Source organism: Homo sapiens, chromosome 8 (genome assembly GCF_000001405.40).
Source record: "Homo sapiens chromosome 8, GRCh38.p14 Primary Assembly".
Taxonomy (NCBI): Eukaryota; Metazoa; Chordata; class Mammalia; order Primates; family Hominidae; genus Homo; species Homo sapiens.
In genome coordinates, this window is record NC_000008.11 from 139,900,460 (window position 1) to 139,919,787 (window position 19,328).

At 49.8% G+C, this 19,328-nt stretch overlaps 1 protein-coding gene and 1 long non-coding RNA gene across 16 annotated transcripts in view, besides 2 other annotated features; one reads left to right on the plus strand and one right to left on the minus strand.

Moving 5' to 3' along the window:
* Positions 1-19,328, minus strand: part of TRAPPC9 (trafficking protein particle complex subunit 9) — a 730,855-nt gene that overhangs the window by 172,735 nt on the left and 538,792 nt on the right. For all 15 annotated transcript variants that reach the window (NR_164662.1, XM_011517326.3, NM_031466.8 and 12 more), the window contains one exon: positions 9,688-9,841. Coding sequence is in view for 14 of the 15 variants with exons in the window: in XM_011517326.3 (XP_011515628.1) it covers positions 9,688-9,841 (154 nt within the window). In the remaining variant the exon portion in view is untranslated. The remainder of the gene's footprint in view (positions 1-9,687; positions 9,842-19,328) is intronic.
* Positions 7,726-8,229: an enhancer, noted in NCBI's record as "H3K4me1 hESC enhancer chr8:140920429-140920932 (GRCh37/hg19 assembly coordinates)". NCBI's record gives its function as "activates a minimal SCP1, AML or CMV promoter by ChIP-STARR-seq in primed H9 embryonic stem cells {active_cell/tissue: H9 hESC(primed)}" and the evidence as "EXISTENCE:reporter gene assay evidence [ECO:0000049][PMID:30033119]".
* LOC105375781 (uncharacterized) lies at positions 10,783-16,169 on the plus strand. The gene is made up of 3 exons (NR_188082.1): positions 10,783-10,841; positions 13,466-13,632; positions 15,939-16,169. It is a non-coding gene; the product is annotated as an uncharacterized LOC105375781 (long non-coding RNA).
* Positions 13,946-14,485: an enhancer, noted in NCBI's record as "H3K4me1 hESC enhancer chr8:140926649-140927188 (GRCh37/hg19 assembly coordinates)". NCBI's record gives its function as "activates a minimal SCP1, AML or CMV promoter by ChIP-STARR-seq in primed H9 embryonic stem cells {active_cell/tissue: H9 hESC(primed)}" and the evidence as "EXISTENCE:reporter gene assay evidence [ECO:0000049][PMID:30033119]".

Here is a 19,328-nt window from a genome sequence, read left to right on the forward strand (position 1 = left end):
GGGGCCTCCCTATGTTAAAGAAGCCCAGCCTCCTGGGCAAGGATTATATCCTACTTATTATCAGTAGTCATTCTTCCTTATTTATCACATTTAATTATTTAATCAATATTTGTACAGAGCCTTTTTGTTTACAAATGTTTTCATGTGTGCCATCTCAGTTAATCTCCATGTCTTGGGAACTATGAGTGTTCACTTCCAAATCTTTGAAAAACACAGCCAGATGCAAAGCAAATGCACAAGGTAATAAAACACCTTCCTTGTCATTTTCTGTAAGGCCATTAGCAGTAAAATATTTGGTAATGTACCGCAGTCAAAGACCATTTGAAACCATGGGGCAGCTTTGAGATCCTGTCTATATTTATGTGACTGAAGTCTACCATGACCCGGTTTGGCATTTTAGGAAAACAATGATTGCTTAGTTCACTCTGCCCCTGGGAAACATGAAGCCAGATGGGAATCTGTGAGGTTCTCTTTGGAACCTGTAGACCTGAGGTGTGTGAGCCTCATCTCTCAAAAATAAATAAATAAATAAATAAATAAATAAAATAAATAAATAAATAAAAATAAAATAAAAGTAAGTGCTATGCTCAGAACATCTGGTTAGTATCCAAAGTCTACAGAGCAAAAGCTTGAACTCCATCATGGAGAATTTGACATGAAGGTTTTCACACTGGATTTGGGTTGAGCATCATGAAGTGGGTGCTCTGGGGTGGCGGTGACTTCAGTTGGGTCATCTCTCCCTGCTGGAAAATAGGCTGTTTGCATCCCACGCGCAAGCTCTGGAGTGAATGACTACAGGTGCAAGGGCTCAGCTTAGCCCCACTTCAGATCAAATAAATTAGCAAATTGTCATAAATAGAAATTACACTAATGGAAAGACTGCTTTAAATGATTAATGAGCCTCTTTGCCATGACTTTGTTTTCTAATTTGCATCATGAACTTTCAGAATGCTGATGCTCTTGCCGCTCTCATTTCAGTAAGTGCCCCAGCGTCTCAGCTGAGCTCCCTGGTGTGAGAGACCCAACTGGACAGAAGATGTCACACAGTGGGACGCGCTGCCAAGGGGAGAGGTCTGCAACTGGCTCACTGCTGCAAATCTTGCCTGGGTGAGAATATTCCAGAGTCCCACAGTGGAGAGCAGGTGAAATGGACAGAGCTCTGCATGGGGCGATGGGTACCAATCAGTGGTGAGACCTAGGAATGCTGCCATCTCCATAGGCTTCCTCTGGTAAGTGGGGATAATGCGAGGCCCTGGCAGAAGCCAGAGGCTCTTGTGCTTCTTCCTAGATGGAGCTGAGCACACAGCACTGAGGGCAGCAGCTGCCCGTGCCCCCGGCTCTGCCACGGACCAGCTGGGTGACCTACAGCAAGCGAGGTGACCTCGCTGGGCCTCCTCGTTTTCTCATCTGTGCAACGTGGATAAAACTACTTCAGAGAGTTGTTGTGAAAGTGAAGGGAATAAATCTGTATAAATTGCCCAGAACGGTGCCTGGCATCTAGTAAGTGCCATATGGGTTTTAGCTGTTACTTAAGCTCTGTAACTTTATGATTCTATTACATAAGCTACGCATGCTCACAATAATCATCACGCTAAAAATACAGTGTGTATATGTCCAACATGTACCTGATCACACAAACACAACACACGTCGATCCGTGTGCACGTTCACACACACATGCATGCACACACATGAAGATGGGAAATGATGCTGTGGATGCCGGGGAAAGGCCCTTCCCCGCTCTCATGTTCCAGATCTGAAGTCTGTGCTGAGTATGTGTCAAACCCCGGCCACTTTCAAAGTCATTTCAAGGTGGGCATGGCCACCAGATTTGGATTTGGGGGAGGCAGCAATCAAATCTGTGCCTCTCCCACCTTACCCTCCAGCCCACCGAAGGCCAAACAGCCAGGGTGATGTGACGGCCTCGCTGGCTGGCAAGGCAGGACGTCTCTCTGTGGCTGACAGGGCTTCCCTGCTACGGGAGATTAAAGGCCTCAGAACCACGTTATTACAAACAGCTATAAAAGCCAAATTCCCTCAAGGCAGATACAAAATGCAACCCTGCATTTTACTTAAGATGATCAAGGAATCAGCTGTACTGATGGCAGGAGCCGTTTATAGTAAAATTCATTTAGAGAAAACTATTTCTCCAAACATAACGATTAGAAAAACACAGTGTGCTATGTTTTAAAAGAATCTTGTTTAAAGATATTTAATTTTTTTCAGGAGATAAGACAGAGCTCCATTAGGAAACATGTCTGAGAATAGGCCAGAAGCCACTTTGAGAGGCCGAAGGGTGGGCCCACACAGCCCACGTCAAGTGCCTGAGTCCCGCCTCTGTCCTGAAAGGGAGGATAGCTCAGCGGAAGGCAACTCCTCCTTACTGGAAAGAAGGCAGTCTTGAAAATGGAGAACAAAGCCCAGTGTGACTGCATTCCAGGTGAGATCACCCAAACAGGGCCACTGTGCCTAAAATCCTTACACTGTCCTGCTGGTGAAGCCCAAATAAAACTGACAAACACCGCCGCCACTGTGGAGCCTCTTCACTTTGCAGAGGGTGACTGTTGTCTGCAAGATCCAACACCCCTCAGCAGTGCACAGCCTGAGACCCAAGCTGTGCCTGGGCTCCCTGTGCCCGGGAAGGCAGCTGTTTGAGGACACAAGGCCCCCTGTACTGAGATCATGGTTACACCGTCCACATCCCTCCACTCTCCAAGTCATGTCTGCTCATTTGTCCTCCGCATTTCACAGATATTCCACTCCAATCCCCTACTCTGGGTATCTAAAGCCATTTGCCTTGGGCTTCTCCAGCCTCTAACTCACTCTCAAAGCAGCCAAATTGGTTAAAAATGCTCCTCCAGACAGAATGGAGGAGGCGGATGCGCCTGGTGGGAAGAGATTGCTCAGACGGCCCAGGTCATTCGCCTTCATGGGGATCAGCCAAACTGCGCACCCAATTCTTCCTACTCCAGCTCACACAGCTGGATTCTGATACCTCAGCAAGCCTTGCACCAATCCCTGAAATGCTCTCCAAAGGGTGATTTGCAACAAAAACAAGGAAAATGAAAGGGTGAGTTGACCCTAGGCTTGCCAGAAGCGTGTCCCTCCCCTGCTTCCACAGCAGACGGTCTGTGCAGGGCTGCTCTGGAAAAGGAGCCAGGCTGCGATGTAGACTCATCCCGTGAGTTGCAGTTCCTTTCACACACTCATCACGGCACTCGGCATCGCGCAGCTGAGCTGGTAGCCATTCTGTTTGCTGTGTCATTGAAATGGAAACTATTCATTCAACAAACCATTTTAGGCTGGGCATGGTGGCTCACACCTATAATCCCAGCACTTTGGGAGGCCGAAGTGGGCAGATTACCCAAGGTCAGGAGTTCGAGACCAGCCTGGCCAAAGTGGTGAAACCCCAACTCTACTAAAAAATACAAAAATTAGCCAGGCGTGGTGGCAGGTGCCTGTAGTCCCAGCTACCCAGGAGGCGGAGGTTGCAGTGAACCTCTCTGCAACCATTGCACTCCAGCCTGGGTGCCAAGAGTGAAACTCTGTCTCAAAAAACAAACAGTTTTCATACCTATGTGCTAGCGATTATACACAGCACTTGGGCAAGCAAAAGAGAACACATACTATCAGAGCAGGGTCCACACCTGATTTTGAGCATCTGGTGTGCCCTGGTGTTCAGTCCAACCTCTGGCACATGGTAGAGCCTCAATAAACGGCTGTTGGATGAACAGGATTCCACCTGACCTCAAGACGGCACAATCTGGCAAGGGAGAAAATCTGCAGAAAAAAACTAATTTTCTGTACTAATTAAAGACTGTAACTAACAAGAATGAAGTACTGGGTGTCACAGGAGCCCAAGGGAAGGGGCTGTTGCAGCCAGGCCGAGACGGGAGGGAGGCTGATGGCAGAGAAGGCTCTGAGGAGCAGACAGTGAGGTCCACTCTGAAGGATGAGTCAGGAGGGCCTCCCCTGAGGTCAGGTAGCAGCGTGGCATGAGGTCTTCCAGCAGGAAACGGGCAAGGGGCATTCACCTTTGCTGACACCTTCCAGGGCCAGAAGCTATGTCTGCACCTTGCAGATGTGATCTCAGTTGAAGCAGTCAACAGGAAAATAACAAGTTTTGGGATCCTGACTATGCCTCTAGTTGCACAATCTCTGGTGAGTTATTGAACTTCCAAAATTTACTTATGTTTTGAAAGGGGTAGGTACTACCTGCTTTGCAGGTCTGAGGTAAGGAAAATGCTTCTGCTCACCCATAGGTGACCAAAAAGGCCGATGATTCTTCGAACTCATCCTGACAGCAATGGTCTGCAGCAGGTTCCGTCACACCAGCTGCACAGATTAGTACATGGCCCTCAGGTCACACAGTCTCCCCTTCTGGATGCTGGGAGTGGCAGGGCCAGCCTCTGACCCCAGGCTCCAGTCCTCAACAATGTGGCGTCATTAGTCCTATCCCAAAGGCAAATATAGAAGATTTCTAGATCACGTGGTAAAGGCTATTATCTGCTATTAACAGAGTTCACAGAGAGTTGGCTATGCTAAGGTTTCCCAAGTTCAGTAAAATTGTCCAGTATTGGTAGCTGGAGGGTAAGAAGAAGCTTAAAAGAAGAAGGTACCAAAGGTAGGTAGGTTTTATCCAGAAAGCATCACTGTATAGCAAATAAGCCCAGCTCTCTGGGCCAGATGCTGCATGTACTAGGAAGAGATGCCCCCGCCCTCCAGGGAAACTGCACAGACATTACAAACAAGCATGCTCTTATCAAGCAGGAGAGGTCTGGGTCGGGGGGCTGGGGGGAAGGATTCTCTTTAAAATCAGCAGGCTGATGTGGGCAAGAAAGCCTAGGAAATGTGGAAGAAAGGGCTTAAGAGACTTGTGAGCATGAGGAGTCCTTTGTGAAAACTTTGATCCTGGGATAGAATAAGGATAAATGCACAAAGACAGCAGAAGCCCTCCAACCTGGCGTGTGCGTGACAGGAAGGGACACAGGGAGAGTGCTTCCCGAGTGTGCCACAGGAGCAGGGACTCGCCCCGTGCAGCTCCGGGGAAGCAGAAGCCCTTGCTGTCCCCACTTCATGATGAGAATAGAGAAGCAGAGAGAGAAGGTGGCCATGACCAAGGTCACCCGGGGCAGGGACTGGTGGGAGAATGGTAGGAAACTGCCTGTGTCTGACCAGGTTTCCCAGCCTCTCGTGGGAAACATGGCCCCAGGCTTGGTGGCAGGTAGTGAGGAAAGCTTGCTGTACAGTAGCTAACACATAGCAGCCACACAAGAAGTGGTTTTCATAGTCATAATAATAAGAATGATAAATAGGGTTTAAGAAAAGATTTCCTAAAGAAAAAAGGGGTACCCAGCTGGGCGCGGTGGCTCATGCCTGTAATACCAACACTTTGGGAGGCCGAGGCGGGCGGATCACGAGGTCAGGAGATTCAGACCATTATGGCCAACATGGTGAAACTCTGTCTCTACTAAAATACAAAAAAATTAGCCGGGCGTGGTGGTGTACATCTGTAGTCCCAGCTACTCGGGGGGCTGAGGCAGGGGAATCTCTGGAACCCGGGAGGCGGAGATTGCAGTGAGCCAAGATTGTGGCCACTGTACTCCAGCCTGGTGACAAAGCAAGACTGCCTCAAAAAACAAAAAACAACAAACAAAAGAAAAGAAAAAGAAAAAAGGGGTACCTAACCCATTAGCTCATCCGGTCAGGCCCAGCACCAGAATGTGACCCCCACTCTGGAAGCAGGATGGCTGACCGCCCTGGGCCACCTCCCCAACAACAGGTCACCCTGTCCACAGCAGGGACAGGCCCTGTGCCCGGCCAGTGCCCTGGGACATGATCCTAGGTGTCTTCATTGTAATTTCTCTGGCCCTGGGCTCCTTGTGATAAACGTGCCCCATCTCAGAATGGGAGAAGGGGCTGGTCAGCAGGGCTGGGCGCTACTCAGAGGCCACCCACAGCCCTCCAGCACTCTAGGAGGAGTGCCCGGGGGTGCCCAATCACACGTGGGGTCTGAGGGAGGGGACAAGAACAAGGAGGCTACTGAGTTTAACCCTCTGTTTCGACAGAAATTAAGTAGGGAAGGGCATAGGGGAGGGGCAGGAGGGAGAGAAGGGGGAAGAGAGGATTGGGAAGGAGAGAGGAAGGGACAGGCACTCAGAGGCCACCCGCAAGTCTGAACCCTGCAGGTTCTTGGTGACGGGTGGCCGCCTCTGCACTTTCTTCCTGTGCCGCTCCCTTTGTTCAGGCCCTTGTGGTCCCTCGGCACTTTTTTCCTGGGTACTCCCTTCGCTCAGGCCCTCACGGTCCCTGACTTAGAGCTGCTCACGCAGTGGCTCCTCAACCCACCAGCATCCCCAGGGGCGCTTGCATCTTTGCAACCCACTTGTCACACTGTGGCCAGGGTGGCTTTCAAAGACATCAATGTGGCCATGCTCATACCCTGCCTTCTGGGTCCCCTGCTGAGGACAGCACAGCACATGCTGAACCCTGGGCCCTCTTCATCTCTCTACGTGAACGGGAATGGGCTGAGATCTCCACCTACTCCTGCCAGGCGTGACCTGAGGGAAGCTCCCATCAGCCCCACAACGCTGCACTGCAAGTGCCCATCTCTGTATCTGTCCCCTCCCCTTTGATGGGGGCATCTCCAGGGCTCACCTCCTAAGAACAAGCAAATCTGTACCATATTTGTCATTAACAGGTGAAGAGTGGGGTGAGAGCTCCCGGCAGCCCTGGGCTGCCCATCGTGTCACCGTAGCTGCTTCATAGACAGGTGTGCATCGACCCAGTGCAAGATCCCCAATTTCCTTTAAAACGCATCTATCCAGACCCATGCGCTACAGGTGGGCAACTGCTACAACTATGGACGGGTATCAAATTAAGCTCAAATGTTTGTAAAAAGTCTAAATGTTTAGAAAATATTATTAAAATGCATAATGAAATTATTAGCCAATTCAATCTTTGGTCTTTCCATCTGCTTGAATTCAGGTTTACAATAGCAAAATTCTGCTATTCCTCTGACACCAGATGTCATCAACAGATGAGAGTGGGGGGAAGGGAGAGGAGAGGGAGAAAGAGAAAGGGGGGGAGGAAGGGATGGAGGCAGAGAGGGAGGGAGGGAGGGAGGGAGGGATGATGTCCTTAATGTTAACTCTCTTTCACTAAATTTGCCTATAGGGACAATCAAGCTCTCATAAACTTCCGATCAGTAAATGTATGGGGCAGATGTGCTTGGCACATGGTAGGCAATCAATAAATATGTGTTGCATGAATTATTAAGCAAATATACAGAAAATAGAGAAGTCAAACGCAAAGACATTTTCTGTACTTTTTTGATACTGGTTTTCAAAGAACGCAAGAGTTCTGTGGGCCACTATCATCCCATTAGAAGGCAGCATGTGCTGGGCGGGGACTGCAGGCTGGCAGACAAGCTACGGGGTGCAGGAACTGGCCACGCCACTTTCTCTTTGTGAAGTGGAGTCACAGTTTTCATCTGCAAGACGGGAAGACAGGATAATGAAACCGCCCCAGGAGTCAGGTTGCCGACAAGGGTGACGTGGCCCAGGGCAGCACCAGCCCAGGGTGGTGTCTGGGAGGCAGCAGCTCTGACACTAGCAGGGTGCCCCTGTGTGCCCAGCACAATGAGGCCCTGGGAGGGGAGGGGAGGGCTCAATCTCTGTGAAGCGTGGGGACACAGAGGTCAAAATCCCAACCATCCTAGGGCTCTGGCTTTTATCTGAGCCCAAAGAGAGATCGTTCAGGAGAATGAATAACCTCCTGCCAGGCCCACCATGCACCTGCCCCTTCCTCCACTGGTGCTGCTGGCGCTGAGCTGGGGCTGCATCAGACCCATCCAGGACCGCCTTGCTCTGCATGGGGCGCCCGGCCAGAGGCTGAATCTCTGAGACCCGAGTAAGAGATGCCTCCTGCCTCACATAGAGCCTCTCCAACCCTCAGCCTATCAGAAAGACCCAACAGAAAGACAGAAAGATTATCAGAAACATGGGCCTATCAGAAAGACCCAAGACCCAGCATAGACGCTGGGAGGTGAGTGCCAGGGGTCCCTCCTTTCCCCAGCCTGGCAGCGTGGGAGTTGCCTGCGGAGCCTTCTCCTTTGAAGCCTGAGACTCGGGGGTGAGCACTTTGCCAGCAAACTTACCTGGGTTGGTCCCTGGCCCTACCCCTCATGGCTGAGACTCAATTTCCTTCATGGGAGCCACAGTGCTGGTCAGGGAGATGTGGAGGAGATAAATGGGGTGATGGGTGCACGCCCGACACAGTAGGAACCAGTCTGACTCGCTCCTTGCTATGGCATTTTGCTCATTAAGAACTGGCTGAACCCTGACTTTGTGCCAAGCTCTGTGGGGAATACAAGGGAAAGACAACTCCCATTATCCCCACCTTTTTACTTCTCTCTGTACCAGAGATAAACACCGGTAACTCCACAACAGACTGTTCCTGTTCACTACGTGAGTCCCCAAGCACTCTATTTTTCATGTCTGGTTCACAAAACCTTCTATCTACATGTAAAGTGCTTATTTTGTCACAAACTCCTTGGAGACAGTGAGTCTGCCAGGCTCAAAGTCCCTTTAGCTTGAACAAAGGAATTGGCCTCAGGTTCTGGAAACTATGCTGTGTAGAGCGAGGACACTTTCGGAATCCAGGAGGCCATCTGGAAGGATCCCAGACCACACAACGGAGCAACGTGTGTATCCCCATATCTGCAGAATGTGTGCATGACTGAGATCATTAACAGACATTCCCATCAGAGCTGCCCCTTCCCCGGAGATGGGCTCTCATGCCTCAGTATTTTGGGGCTGTTTCCTACCTTTGTCCCCTTAATAAACTTCTATCTACTTCTAGCAGCCACTCAAATGTCACCTCCTCTATGAAGCCTTCCTTGAATGCCCCCACCCAGTGGCCTCTGAACCTGCAGCACTCGGCAGGGTGCTCTGCCTTCGCTCCCCAACAGTGCTCAATTCCCAGAGGACACATCCACTTCATACTAGACAAACAACTGCATGGAGACCTTGTCTTTGCATCTCAGCCTCTTAAATGCCTTGCAAAATGCCTGACTCAAAAGTAGGTGCTCTCCAAAGATTGCTGAACAAACAAATGAGGGAACCTGGGCTTCTCCAAAGTGCTCGGTCAGTCAGTGGAGTGTCTGCAAGGAGTCAGCCATTGATCCAAAGTTCAGACCAGGCTCAGTGACTGTGTGAAACACTGTGTTATAGCACAATCCTTCTGAAAACTCTCTCCAACTTTTCAAAATGGCATCTTCATGCCTCGGTAAGCTGTACAATCCGATTTCAGTTTCTCAGACAATTGCACTTGTGTTTTCAGCTGTCAGTCTGTGAACCCCCTGAGCCCGGCACTGATAGGTGGCCATTAGAACCTGTCACTAACATGAATATCAACACTGGCAAGAAGCATGTGATCCAAAGACGAGAGCACCACCGGCTCCGAGAAGACCTTTCCTCGCCCCCAATCAATACTGCTCCGAGTGGGGCCTTTGAAGTGTTAAGAGGTTAAGGAAATGCCAAGCCTTTGGTCCACATCTCCTTGCCACAGCATTTCTGAGCTACCTGTGGTGAAAATTCAATAGCTAAGACCCTCACGGGTCTTTCTTAGAGGTTGGAACCCTGGGCAAAGGTGCCCCCAGGCCCAGGTGGCCCCTGGAAAAGGATATGATTCTCCAGCAGATGCCCAGCTTGCTGTGGATCTCCAGGCCTCGGGCTTCCCGCCGCTCTTCCTCCAGCTGCTTGGGGTTTGCAAATTGCCCCTTCTCCCCAGGGGACTCCGGGAAACTCTCAAAGTTGAACTTGTCCACTTGAATAGCCATTCTACGAGAAAGGGGAAAACACAGCAGAGAATTCATCAGTAGGGCAATTTCTGCCGGCTGTTGGAGAATCAGCACATGCCAGCGTGAGACACTATAATGAATCATTATCGTTAGTAATTCATAACGGATTCATTCCAAGAAAATGAAATAATAGACTCCTAAGGTGGCCCTGACTTCAGAGCTGGTTCAACACACAATTTGGAGCTGAAGACACAGTCATTGCTTCAAACCTCTGGGAAGACCTGTGTTACCCCAGATAAAAATTTCAATTCCATAACACAGCAAGGCAGGAAAGAACCAGTGTGCCATAGATAGTGAGCTGGATGGCGACTTAAACTCCTGTGCAGTCATGGAGAACGCTGACAATTATTTAACCCTGGGGATCCATCAGCCCACTGGGAACTGCCTGTTTATCCTCTGAGTGCTGTCTGCCTCCTCCCCCTACCATTTCCTTCTCAGGCCAGGTGGGCGTGCCCCTCCCACAGCCCCCCCTCAGCTCTCATTTGGAACGGTTGCATTTACCCAATGTCTGTACCCCTATTGTATCTAGGAAATAACTAGCTTGTTTTTGATTTTACAGGTTCATAGGTGGAAGGGACTTGCCTTCTCTCAGATGAGACTTTGGACTGTGGACTTTTGAGTTAATGTTGAAATCAGTTAAGACTTTGGGAGACCGTTGGGAAGGCATGATTGGTTTTGAAATGTGAAGATATGAGACTTGGGAGGGGCCAGGGGCAGAATGATAGAGTTTGGCTCTATCCCCACCCAAATCTCATCTTGAGTTGTACTCCCGCAATTCCCGTGTGTTGTGGGAGGGACGCGGTGGGAGATAATTGAATCATGGGGGTGGCTTCCCCCATACTGTTCTCAGGGTAGTGAATAAGTCACACAAGATCTGATGGTTTCATAAGGGGGAGTTTCCTGCTGTCATCCATGTAAGACGTGACTTGCTCCTCCTTGCCTTCATCATGATTGTGAGGCTTCTCCAGCAACGTGGAACTGTAAGTCCAATTAAACCTCTTTCTTTTGTAAATTGCCCAGTCTCGGGTATGTCTTCATCAGCAGCATAAAAACAAACTAATACAACAACAGAGGGTTTATCAGTCAATGGATAAGAGTAGGCGTTTTGGGCCGGGTGCGACACCTGTAATCCCAGCACTTTGGGAGGCCGAGGCCGGCAGAATCACTAGAGGTCAGGAGTTTGAGACCAGCCTGGCCAACATGGTGAAACCCTATCTCTACCAAAAATACAAAAATAAGCCAGGTATGGTGATACACACCTGTAGTCCCAGCTACTCAGGAGGCTGAGTCAGGAGAATTGCCTGAACCAAGGAGGCGGAAGTTGCAGTGAGCCGAGATTGTGCCACTGCACTCCAGCCTAAATGGCAGAGTGAGACTCTGTCTTAAAAGAAAAAAAAAAAGTAGGCCTTTTTTTTTTATTATTGCATAGATTGTGCTGTGGCCAAAACATTCAGCAAAACCATGCTCTAATTGGCCTCTGTGGCTATTCCCTTGAACGAGCAAGAAATAAGGGGACCTGCTGTTAAGGGGATATAAAGACAAGATAAGACCCAAAGAAGTCTCAGTCTCCACGACAGCTTGGGAAAGAACTACTGCAGTGCCAATAAATCTCTAGTATTCAGCCTGAGGCATGACATGCGGGGCTGAGCCACACAAGAGCTAGAGACGCTCCCCGCAAGCAGAGGACAGTGCTTTTGTGGCAAAACATGGTTTTTAAAAAAATCACTTTTACTATTATTTTCTGGTTCTCTAAGTAGATAGCTTATTGTTAAACAGTTGGAAGATAGAAAAAAGCATAAAAAAGAAAATAAAAGCATTCAAATATTATACTCTAATGTTAACATCTTTACAGTCTTTTCCCTAAGTATTTGTATTTAACATAGTTTAAAATCACTACATATATATGTATAAATCATGATGTATCATATACACAAAGAAATACACCCACATACATAGTTTGAAGTCTTGTTTTATTCTCTTAATATGCTATGAATATTTTCCCATCGCTAAAAATTAGTCTGCGAAATATTCTATCTTAGGGTTGTATCATAGCCTACAGAATGGTTCTCCTATTTTTTGGACTCTCAGCTCTTTTCCAAGTTTAAAAAAAATGACTATTGTAGAAAAAGACCTGACAAACATCTTTGTGCTGAGTGTTTCTGCCTGCACTTACGACTGACTCTCAGGAACTGTTCCCAGACATGGAGCCACTCATTGGAGGGTGTGAGGTGTTTCAGGCTCAGAGGCCGAGTCTTCCAGAAGCCCATCTCCGAGCAGCATGGACAGGCCTGTCTCCCTCTCTACACCACTGCCAATACTGGCGATGATCAGTTTTGAATCTTTGCTAGTAATAGGCAAAATGCCACTTCACTGATGTTTTAATGTGCAGGTCTGAATTACCCCTGAGGTCTGAATTACCCCTGAGGTTGAACATTTTTTCAGAAGCTTACTAACCATGTCTCTTTCTTCTCTTGTGAGTAACCTACCCGTGCAGCAAGAGCTTCTAATTTTCCACCCAGCAAAAAGCTCCTCTTACTTCCCCGCCTCAAAGGCAGACTGAAGCAAACTAGTGCTCTCTTCAAACAAAAGGTCAGAATATTTCCTAAGTTTCATGAAAAAGGCCAGCTTAAGTTCACTGCTTGATAATCCAAAAGGAACTAATAACTTTCACCTCTCAGTTGAGTTTGACAACAGTACCAGGTTCTCTTCCTGTTGAACACAGAAAAGAGAAACAGCCAGCAGGCAGCTCCCTGGGTCAGAGCACACGCTGGATGCTGCGGCCACTGGAACTACAACGGTGTGATATCTAATCTGGGGGTATCTTTCAAACAATTTCTGGTTGAGTAATCATCACACTCTATTATCCTCCTCCAACCTTAACAAAACTGTAGCTAACTCTGCCCATAAAACAGAAAAGGGAAGAAAACAAAATGTAAGGAGCACTTGCTGTGTGCCAAGCCCGGCGCTGGGTGTTCTGTGTGTACGCTCATCTTTGTTAACTTACAGCCAGCCCAGGGAAGGCCAAGCTCTGCTTCATGTTACAGATGACAGGCTGCACCTCTGGGTGCCCAAGCCATCTGGCCCAACATCATGGAGCTAGCAAGCCTCGCTCAGAGCCTGTGTCACAGACTCCATCCTCTGTGTTTTGTCTTGAGCTTTACTTGGCTCTGCTTTGCTTAGGCAGGACACCTAAAGAGAGACCATTTCTTGCTCATGCTGTTTGCAGAGCAGCATGGGACAGAGACCCTGAAACTGCAGACCCTGCCTCCAACAGGCCTGCTGCTTGTGTTAACGGCCAACTGCTTCCCACATTTACAATTGCCTTCTCCTCTGCAGCCCTGGGATGGCCGACGCTGGCAAAAATCCCAAAGGCCGCGTTCCTTTTCCTGCAGTGACAAAACTGGGGTACCAAGAAATCGAGTGACTCACCTAAGGTCACCCAGCTTCAAGTCCTATTGCCAGAATTCCAAGAGCCAAGGATGAATTCCCCAAACCACAGAGGGGCTCTACCTAATACCTCTATCCACCTCTAATACTTCTATCCACCTGGTCCCAGGCACAGCCCCTAAACCTGAGCCCCCTCCTCCTGGCTCCTCCCCACCAGGAAGTGACGGCAGCCCTGTGACTGTTAACCCGGAAAACTGCGAGAGGCTTTCCCATGGAGGGGTCCTCACACCTGGGTTCACCCCTGCCGGAAGACACTGCTGCATTGTGTGCAGCAGCTGCAAGGCCTGCGTGATGGAAGGCGAGAGCCCCTGGCCGGCTGCCCTGGTAGGTGACCTTGCTCTAAATTCAATGGCAGCACTGCCAGAACTTTGAATGAGGGCCGAGGCCATCAGGTTTGAGGCTTGTCACTCCTGTGGAGAGCAGAGCTCCCGATGACGGTGGGTGGCTGGAGAGATGTGGACGGGGTGTCTGCCCCACAGGGAGTGCCAGAGGGCATGCGGGGTGGTGGCGCTTGGCTGAGAGGCTCACAGGGAGACGACCCGCAGGCAGGGACACCCAGGTGCTGGAAGGTAAGGAAGAAACCCAGGGCCACCGAGGGGCACGAAGCTGAGATCACCTATTGCAGTCATCTTCCAGAGAGGAAGGGCGGAAGGCGCTGAGGTGTAGCTGGCAGTGGCCTGTCCATCGTGGTAGGCACCGGGGCAGCAGCGCAGCGGGAGATGGCGGCAGGCTTCAGAGCCCACCACCTGGGCTGGATGCCCAGCTCGGCTTGGAGGTGACTTTGGGGCGAGGCCTGACACTTCCCTGAGCATCTCTGTGGAATGCAGTCAGTGCCACCCGCACCTAACAGCTGGGAGGGTTTGCATGTTCTTAGCACCCACACAGGGTCTATTGTCACCAGGCCACAGGCCACGATCAGCTGAGTGCCTTGATGGCTCCATAACGGCTTTCTCAATGAGCAAGCTACTTTTCATAACAACAACAAAGCAACGACGCCTTGATGCCACATTCATGCCACCGCCCTCACCACTTGGCCCCCGCAGCCTCGGAAGCCTGCCCACCTGCAGGTGTGGTTTGCACAGGACGGCACATCCCTCCTCGTCCTGGGTTTAAGCTTAAACACACAGGTGAGGTCTTATGTTGGGGTCAGTGACACATATCAGAGAATATTCATGCAATTCCCCATCAGAAGGTTTCCAAAAAGTGACTCGGAACCGTGGCTGATGCTCTGGCAAGTCACTGCAAAGGGGTGGGAAATCATTATCTTTGGAAACTGCGTGGAAAAGGCCAGTGAGGAAACCCGCGCAGAACTGACGGCGAAGGCACCTGCCTCGTCTGCAGCGGGTGTTGGCGGGAATGGCCTTTTGGGCGGGCTCCTGGAGGGTGGCGGTGGCGGTGCCGGGCCCTGCCCAGGGGTCTGCCCAGCAAGGTAACAGCTCTTTGAGTGATGCCTTTTTGCTAGAGTGGGTTCTAATGTTATTATTTTGATTTTTTTTTGAGACACAGTCTTGCTCTGTTGGCCAGGCTGGAGTACAGTGGTGCAATCTCTGCTCACTGCAACCTCCGCTTCCTGGGTTCAAGCGATTCTCGTGCCTCAGCCTCCCGAGTAGCTGGGATTACAGGTGCATACTACCACATCTGGCTAATTTTTGTATTTTTAGTAGAGATGGGGTTTCACCATGTTGCCCAGGCTGGTCTCGAACTCCTGACTTCAAGTGATCTTCCCACCTCGGCCTCCCAAAATACTGGGGTTACAGGCATGAGCCACCACGCCAGCCTTGTTTCAATTTTTAATAAAGTAAGGACTTCATGCTGAGGACAAGGCGTATTACCCGCTGTTCGTGTCTGACCAAGACAAGAATCTGGGTCTGGGCCCACAGTCCAGGATTCTCTGCAGAACAGGAGGGCTTCTGCGGGGAACATCAGGGCAGAGACATCTTCCCTGAATGGGCAGAGGGGACAAGAGGCCAGTCCTTGCCACAGCTGTCTGCTAACCCAGAGAGCAATCTTTGGTCCTGGGCTGGGAGCTCTGTGAGGGAAGGGCTGTCTGAGTCACCTGCGTCTCTTCCACACAAGCCTTAGCTTCTCTACACCCAAACTTCCTTTTGGAAAATAAGAAGCATACTTGTTGGGTCACTGGTCACCCTGTGAGGAAGGGGCTTGTGCGTGTGAATGCACTTGGCACTTTGAAATGCTCTCTAGAGATTCGCTAAAGGGAATAGACTTAAATCCTAGATGGAGGAAAGGACCAGGCCCACACAAATCTTCCAAGGCAGGACTTCAGGGGAGCTTATATTTAGGTCAGTGCAATTACTTTTGTACAGGCCTATAAAACACACAATCAAACTATGGCTCTTCTGGGAGGCTTGTCCCACTACATAAACCCCTCAAGACACTGTCCTCCTGGAATAGTCACCTTCGCTCACAATTTTAAAGTTCCTCACAATGTGCAAAACACACTGGGGTTTAGTTTTTTAAATCTGATTGAGGCTGATACACCCCACTTTGTAAGATTTTGTGTAGATTAGATAAGATAGATGGTGGATACAAACGGTCAGCGAAGCATCCGGTACATAAATAGCGCTCTATAAATAGTGGCTGCTGTCATGATTCTGAAACCCGCATTACAGATGGAGAGACCAAGGAGCTGAGGCGCTAAGGAGATGACCTAAGGTTGCAAAGTGAAAAGCAAGGCCAAGGAGGGGCTTCATTTCAAATACCAGATGCGGGGCCGGCCCTCCATCCACTCCTCGGAACGCGGCACTCCGCGGCCTCCCGGGTAGACGGTCTCCACCACTACTTGCTTCTGTTCATCTCTGACGGCAGAGTTAAATAAAATTAATACTATTATTGAATGCCAATTTTCATGTTTAATTTTATGGCCAAATGTGACAATAATAGTCAAGAGTTGGCACTAAAAAAAGGTGCTGTGATTTTTGAAGAGTCTATAAAAAAATGGTGGTTTTTAAAATACCAGATCATATGATTCAGTCTTTGAACAGCGGATAGCCTCACCAGGGAAGTCACAATGACATTTAAATACAAATCAAGGAGTCGGATCTCAGGAGGCTAGCCACATATAATTCAACTGAACTTTCATTGAGAGATAGTTGTTAGTTATAAGACTAGCTTTCCAAATGTATGTGGTACATCATATGTGAATCGATTGCCTGTGCAGAACACCAGCCTATGCTGTTTTGCAAAGAAGTACGATGCCAAGTGAGAGGGAAGCAGTCATCTTCCTGACTCGTCCATCCTGAATGAGAAGGGACTTTGAGCAGACAAGGAAACGGCGTGAACACGGACGTATGGATCACGCCCTGAGAGAGGATCATTTTATCCTTCAGCCTCCTAGATCAATTATGGTAAAAAAGAGAAATCCTTCTTCATTATTATTTTCTTTTTTTTTTTTTTTTTTTTTGTTGAGACGGAGTCTCGCTCTGTTGCCCAGGACGGAGTGCAGTGGCGCGATCTCGGCTTACTGCAAGCTCCGCCTCCCAGGTTCATGCCATTCTCCATTCTCCTGCCTCAGCCTCCCAAGTAGCTGGGACTACACGCGCCTGCCACCATGCCAGGCTAATTTTTTCTATTTTTAGTAGAGACGGGGTTTCACTGTGTTAGCCCGGATGGTCTCGATCTCCTGACCTTGTGATCTGCCTGCCTCGGCCTCCCAAAGTGCTGGGATTACAGGCTTGAGCCACCGCACCCGGCCATTATTATTTTCAATTAAAGGGGAAAGATAAGCTGTATTTTGAAAGTCAAAGCTCTAGGTGATCCAATCAAAGCACCATCGGAGAATGCACCAACACCAAAGCAATGGCGCCCCCGTCCCCCGGGCCTGCTGTGGGCCCACCCCGCTGCCAAGCAACAGGCTCGGTCGCCACCGCCTCCATCTTCGCAGCAGCCCTGGGAGGGAGCAGATTCTCCTGTTGCAGAAAATAAGGTCGCTTGCCCAAGGCCACAGAGATGGCAAATGGGAGACGGAGAAGTCAAAGCCAGGCTGGCAGGAGCCAGGAACCTGTGGTAAGCGTTGACTGAAAGGGTCCACAGAGTCGTCCCCATCGCCTGAACTCGGGCACACATGCTGACAGGTGCTTGGAGATAATACTGCTCGTTGTTAACAAGCAGCCCAGCACTCCCACAGCCAGCTGTGGCCCATGCAGTTAGGGGACTGAGAGCTCTGCCAGAGGTCCGTTCTGCAAATAAACAAGCTGTGGCCTGGGGCCAGGCAGTCTGTGGTCCTGTTCTTTGCTCCATGTAGGGCTAGAGAAAACACTCAATGGGAGAAACTTGGGGAGGTGCAAGCATGAGACAGAGCCTCGCACTCCTTCAATCATGGAAGTCTGTGATTCGCAGGCATCTTGTTTTCTGAATCTTGAGCTCCTCACTGTAAATTGGAGGTTGCGTGAGGCCCATTATTTCTTCAGTTTGGATTCTGTGAGTTCAGAGAAGGCCAAGGGTTGGAAGTAGAGTGAGCATCAGGAAACGGTGGCCTCTTGCTGCAGAGGTGGCTTCTCCGAAGAGGGATGGTGTGCTCTGAGCACTCTGCTTCCTCGATCTGTCAGCCTGGCTGGTCTCCCAGGGAGGGAACCTGCGAAGAGCCCCCGACCCTGCACTGGGAAAGCCCCAAATACACAGCTTCTCATTTTATGCTTACGGAGATCCTATATCACTACCCTCAGGTCACAGAGAGGTGCACTGAGTTCATATGAGTGGAAATTACCCGCCAGTCACCAGAGCGTGAGCAAACCGGCCAGAGCGAGGGGCCCTCCCCGGCCCTCCCACCACGGAGCCGGCTCCCCTTGCCCTTTAGGACTCAGCCAGACACCGCCTTCCCCGAGCAGTGCTGTTCTCAGCGTGGAAGTGCCCGACATCGGGAGCTTCTCCCTCCATCCCAGCCAGCACTGCTGTGGGAAGCACAGCCCCTTCGCTTGCACTTCTCCGGATCAATGTTTATTTTAGGACCTTTAAGTATTGTTTTCTTCAGCGCAGAAAATAGTGCTTAATAAAATGGAATTCACCTAATGCCACTGGCTGCCAGCTGCCCTCCCTCTCCAAACGGCAGAAGGCAGTGCAAGACCTGGGCTCCTCCTGCACCACGGGTCATTTTAAATTGATTTCTTTCTGCAGAGGCCTCCTGAGGAAGCAGTTTTTCCATCTTAACGGGACTGCTTGGCCCGCTGGGTCCAAACAGCCACAGGTCCAGCAAAAGCAGGGAGGAGCCGGTGCCCGGAGCTTCATTCCCCACGGCCTCTGACACACAGCATGCAGGGCCAGGTCTTGGAGTCAGTAGGCAGAGCTCAGGCGCCCACCACTGCTCTCGACTCCCCGAGGCTTTGGCGCCCGGGCTAGTGTCCCGGCTGCAGGGCTGCATTCGGGAAGGGGTGCTGTGCCGAGGAAGGGCATGGGCTTGCAGCAACACGGACTGGAGCGCAACCCTCTTCTCACCTGTTTGCTTTGTGACCGGAGGCAAGTCACTTGAGTGTCCCCAGGCCTTGGTTTTTGATCCACAACGTGGATCTCCTATATTGCAGGGCTAGTCGGGATTTGGGAGAATTGATTTGAACCACTTGGCACATAATTGGTGCTCAAAACAATTATAGCTATTATAATGCTTTTGGGAGCAATTCAAAAGTTTTAAAGTGGACGACGGTGATGGTTGCACAACTCTGTGAATAAACAAAAATCACTGAGCCGTACACTTCAAATGGGTAAATTGCATTGTGTGCAAATCAAATCTCAATAAAGCTGTTATTAAAAAATATGGCTATTAAAGGAAGTTATCATGATAAAGATCAAACGAGGTAGCTTTTAGGAAGACATTTTGTGAAGGTATAAAATGCAAGATAAATATGAGATGTTCTGGGCATTATTTTCACCCATTGACCTGTGTTCATAGGTAACACTTCACTCAAGCTAATATCAGGGTGTCTGCGTCTCCACTCCATCCTTACCTTGGTTGTGTCAGAGCTGTTTTCTTCAACTTGGTGCCCCCCATGCTACCAGTGTGTGGCCCAGAG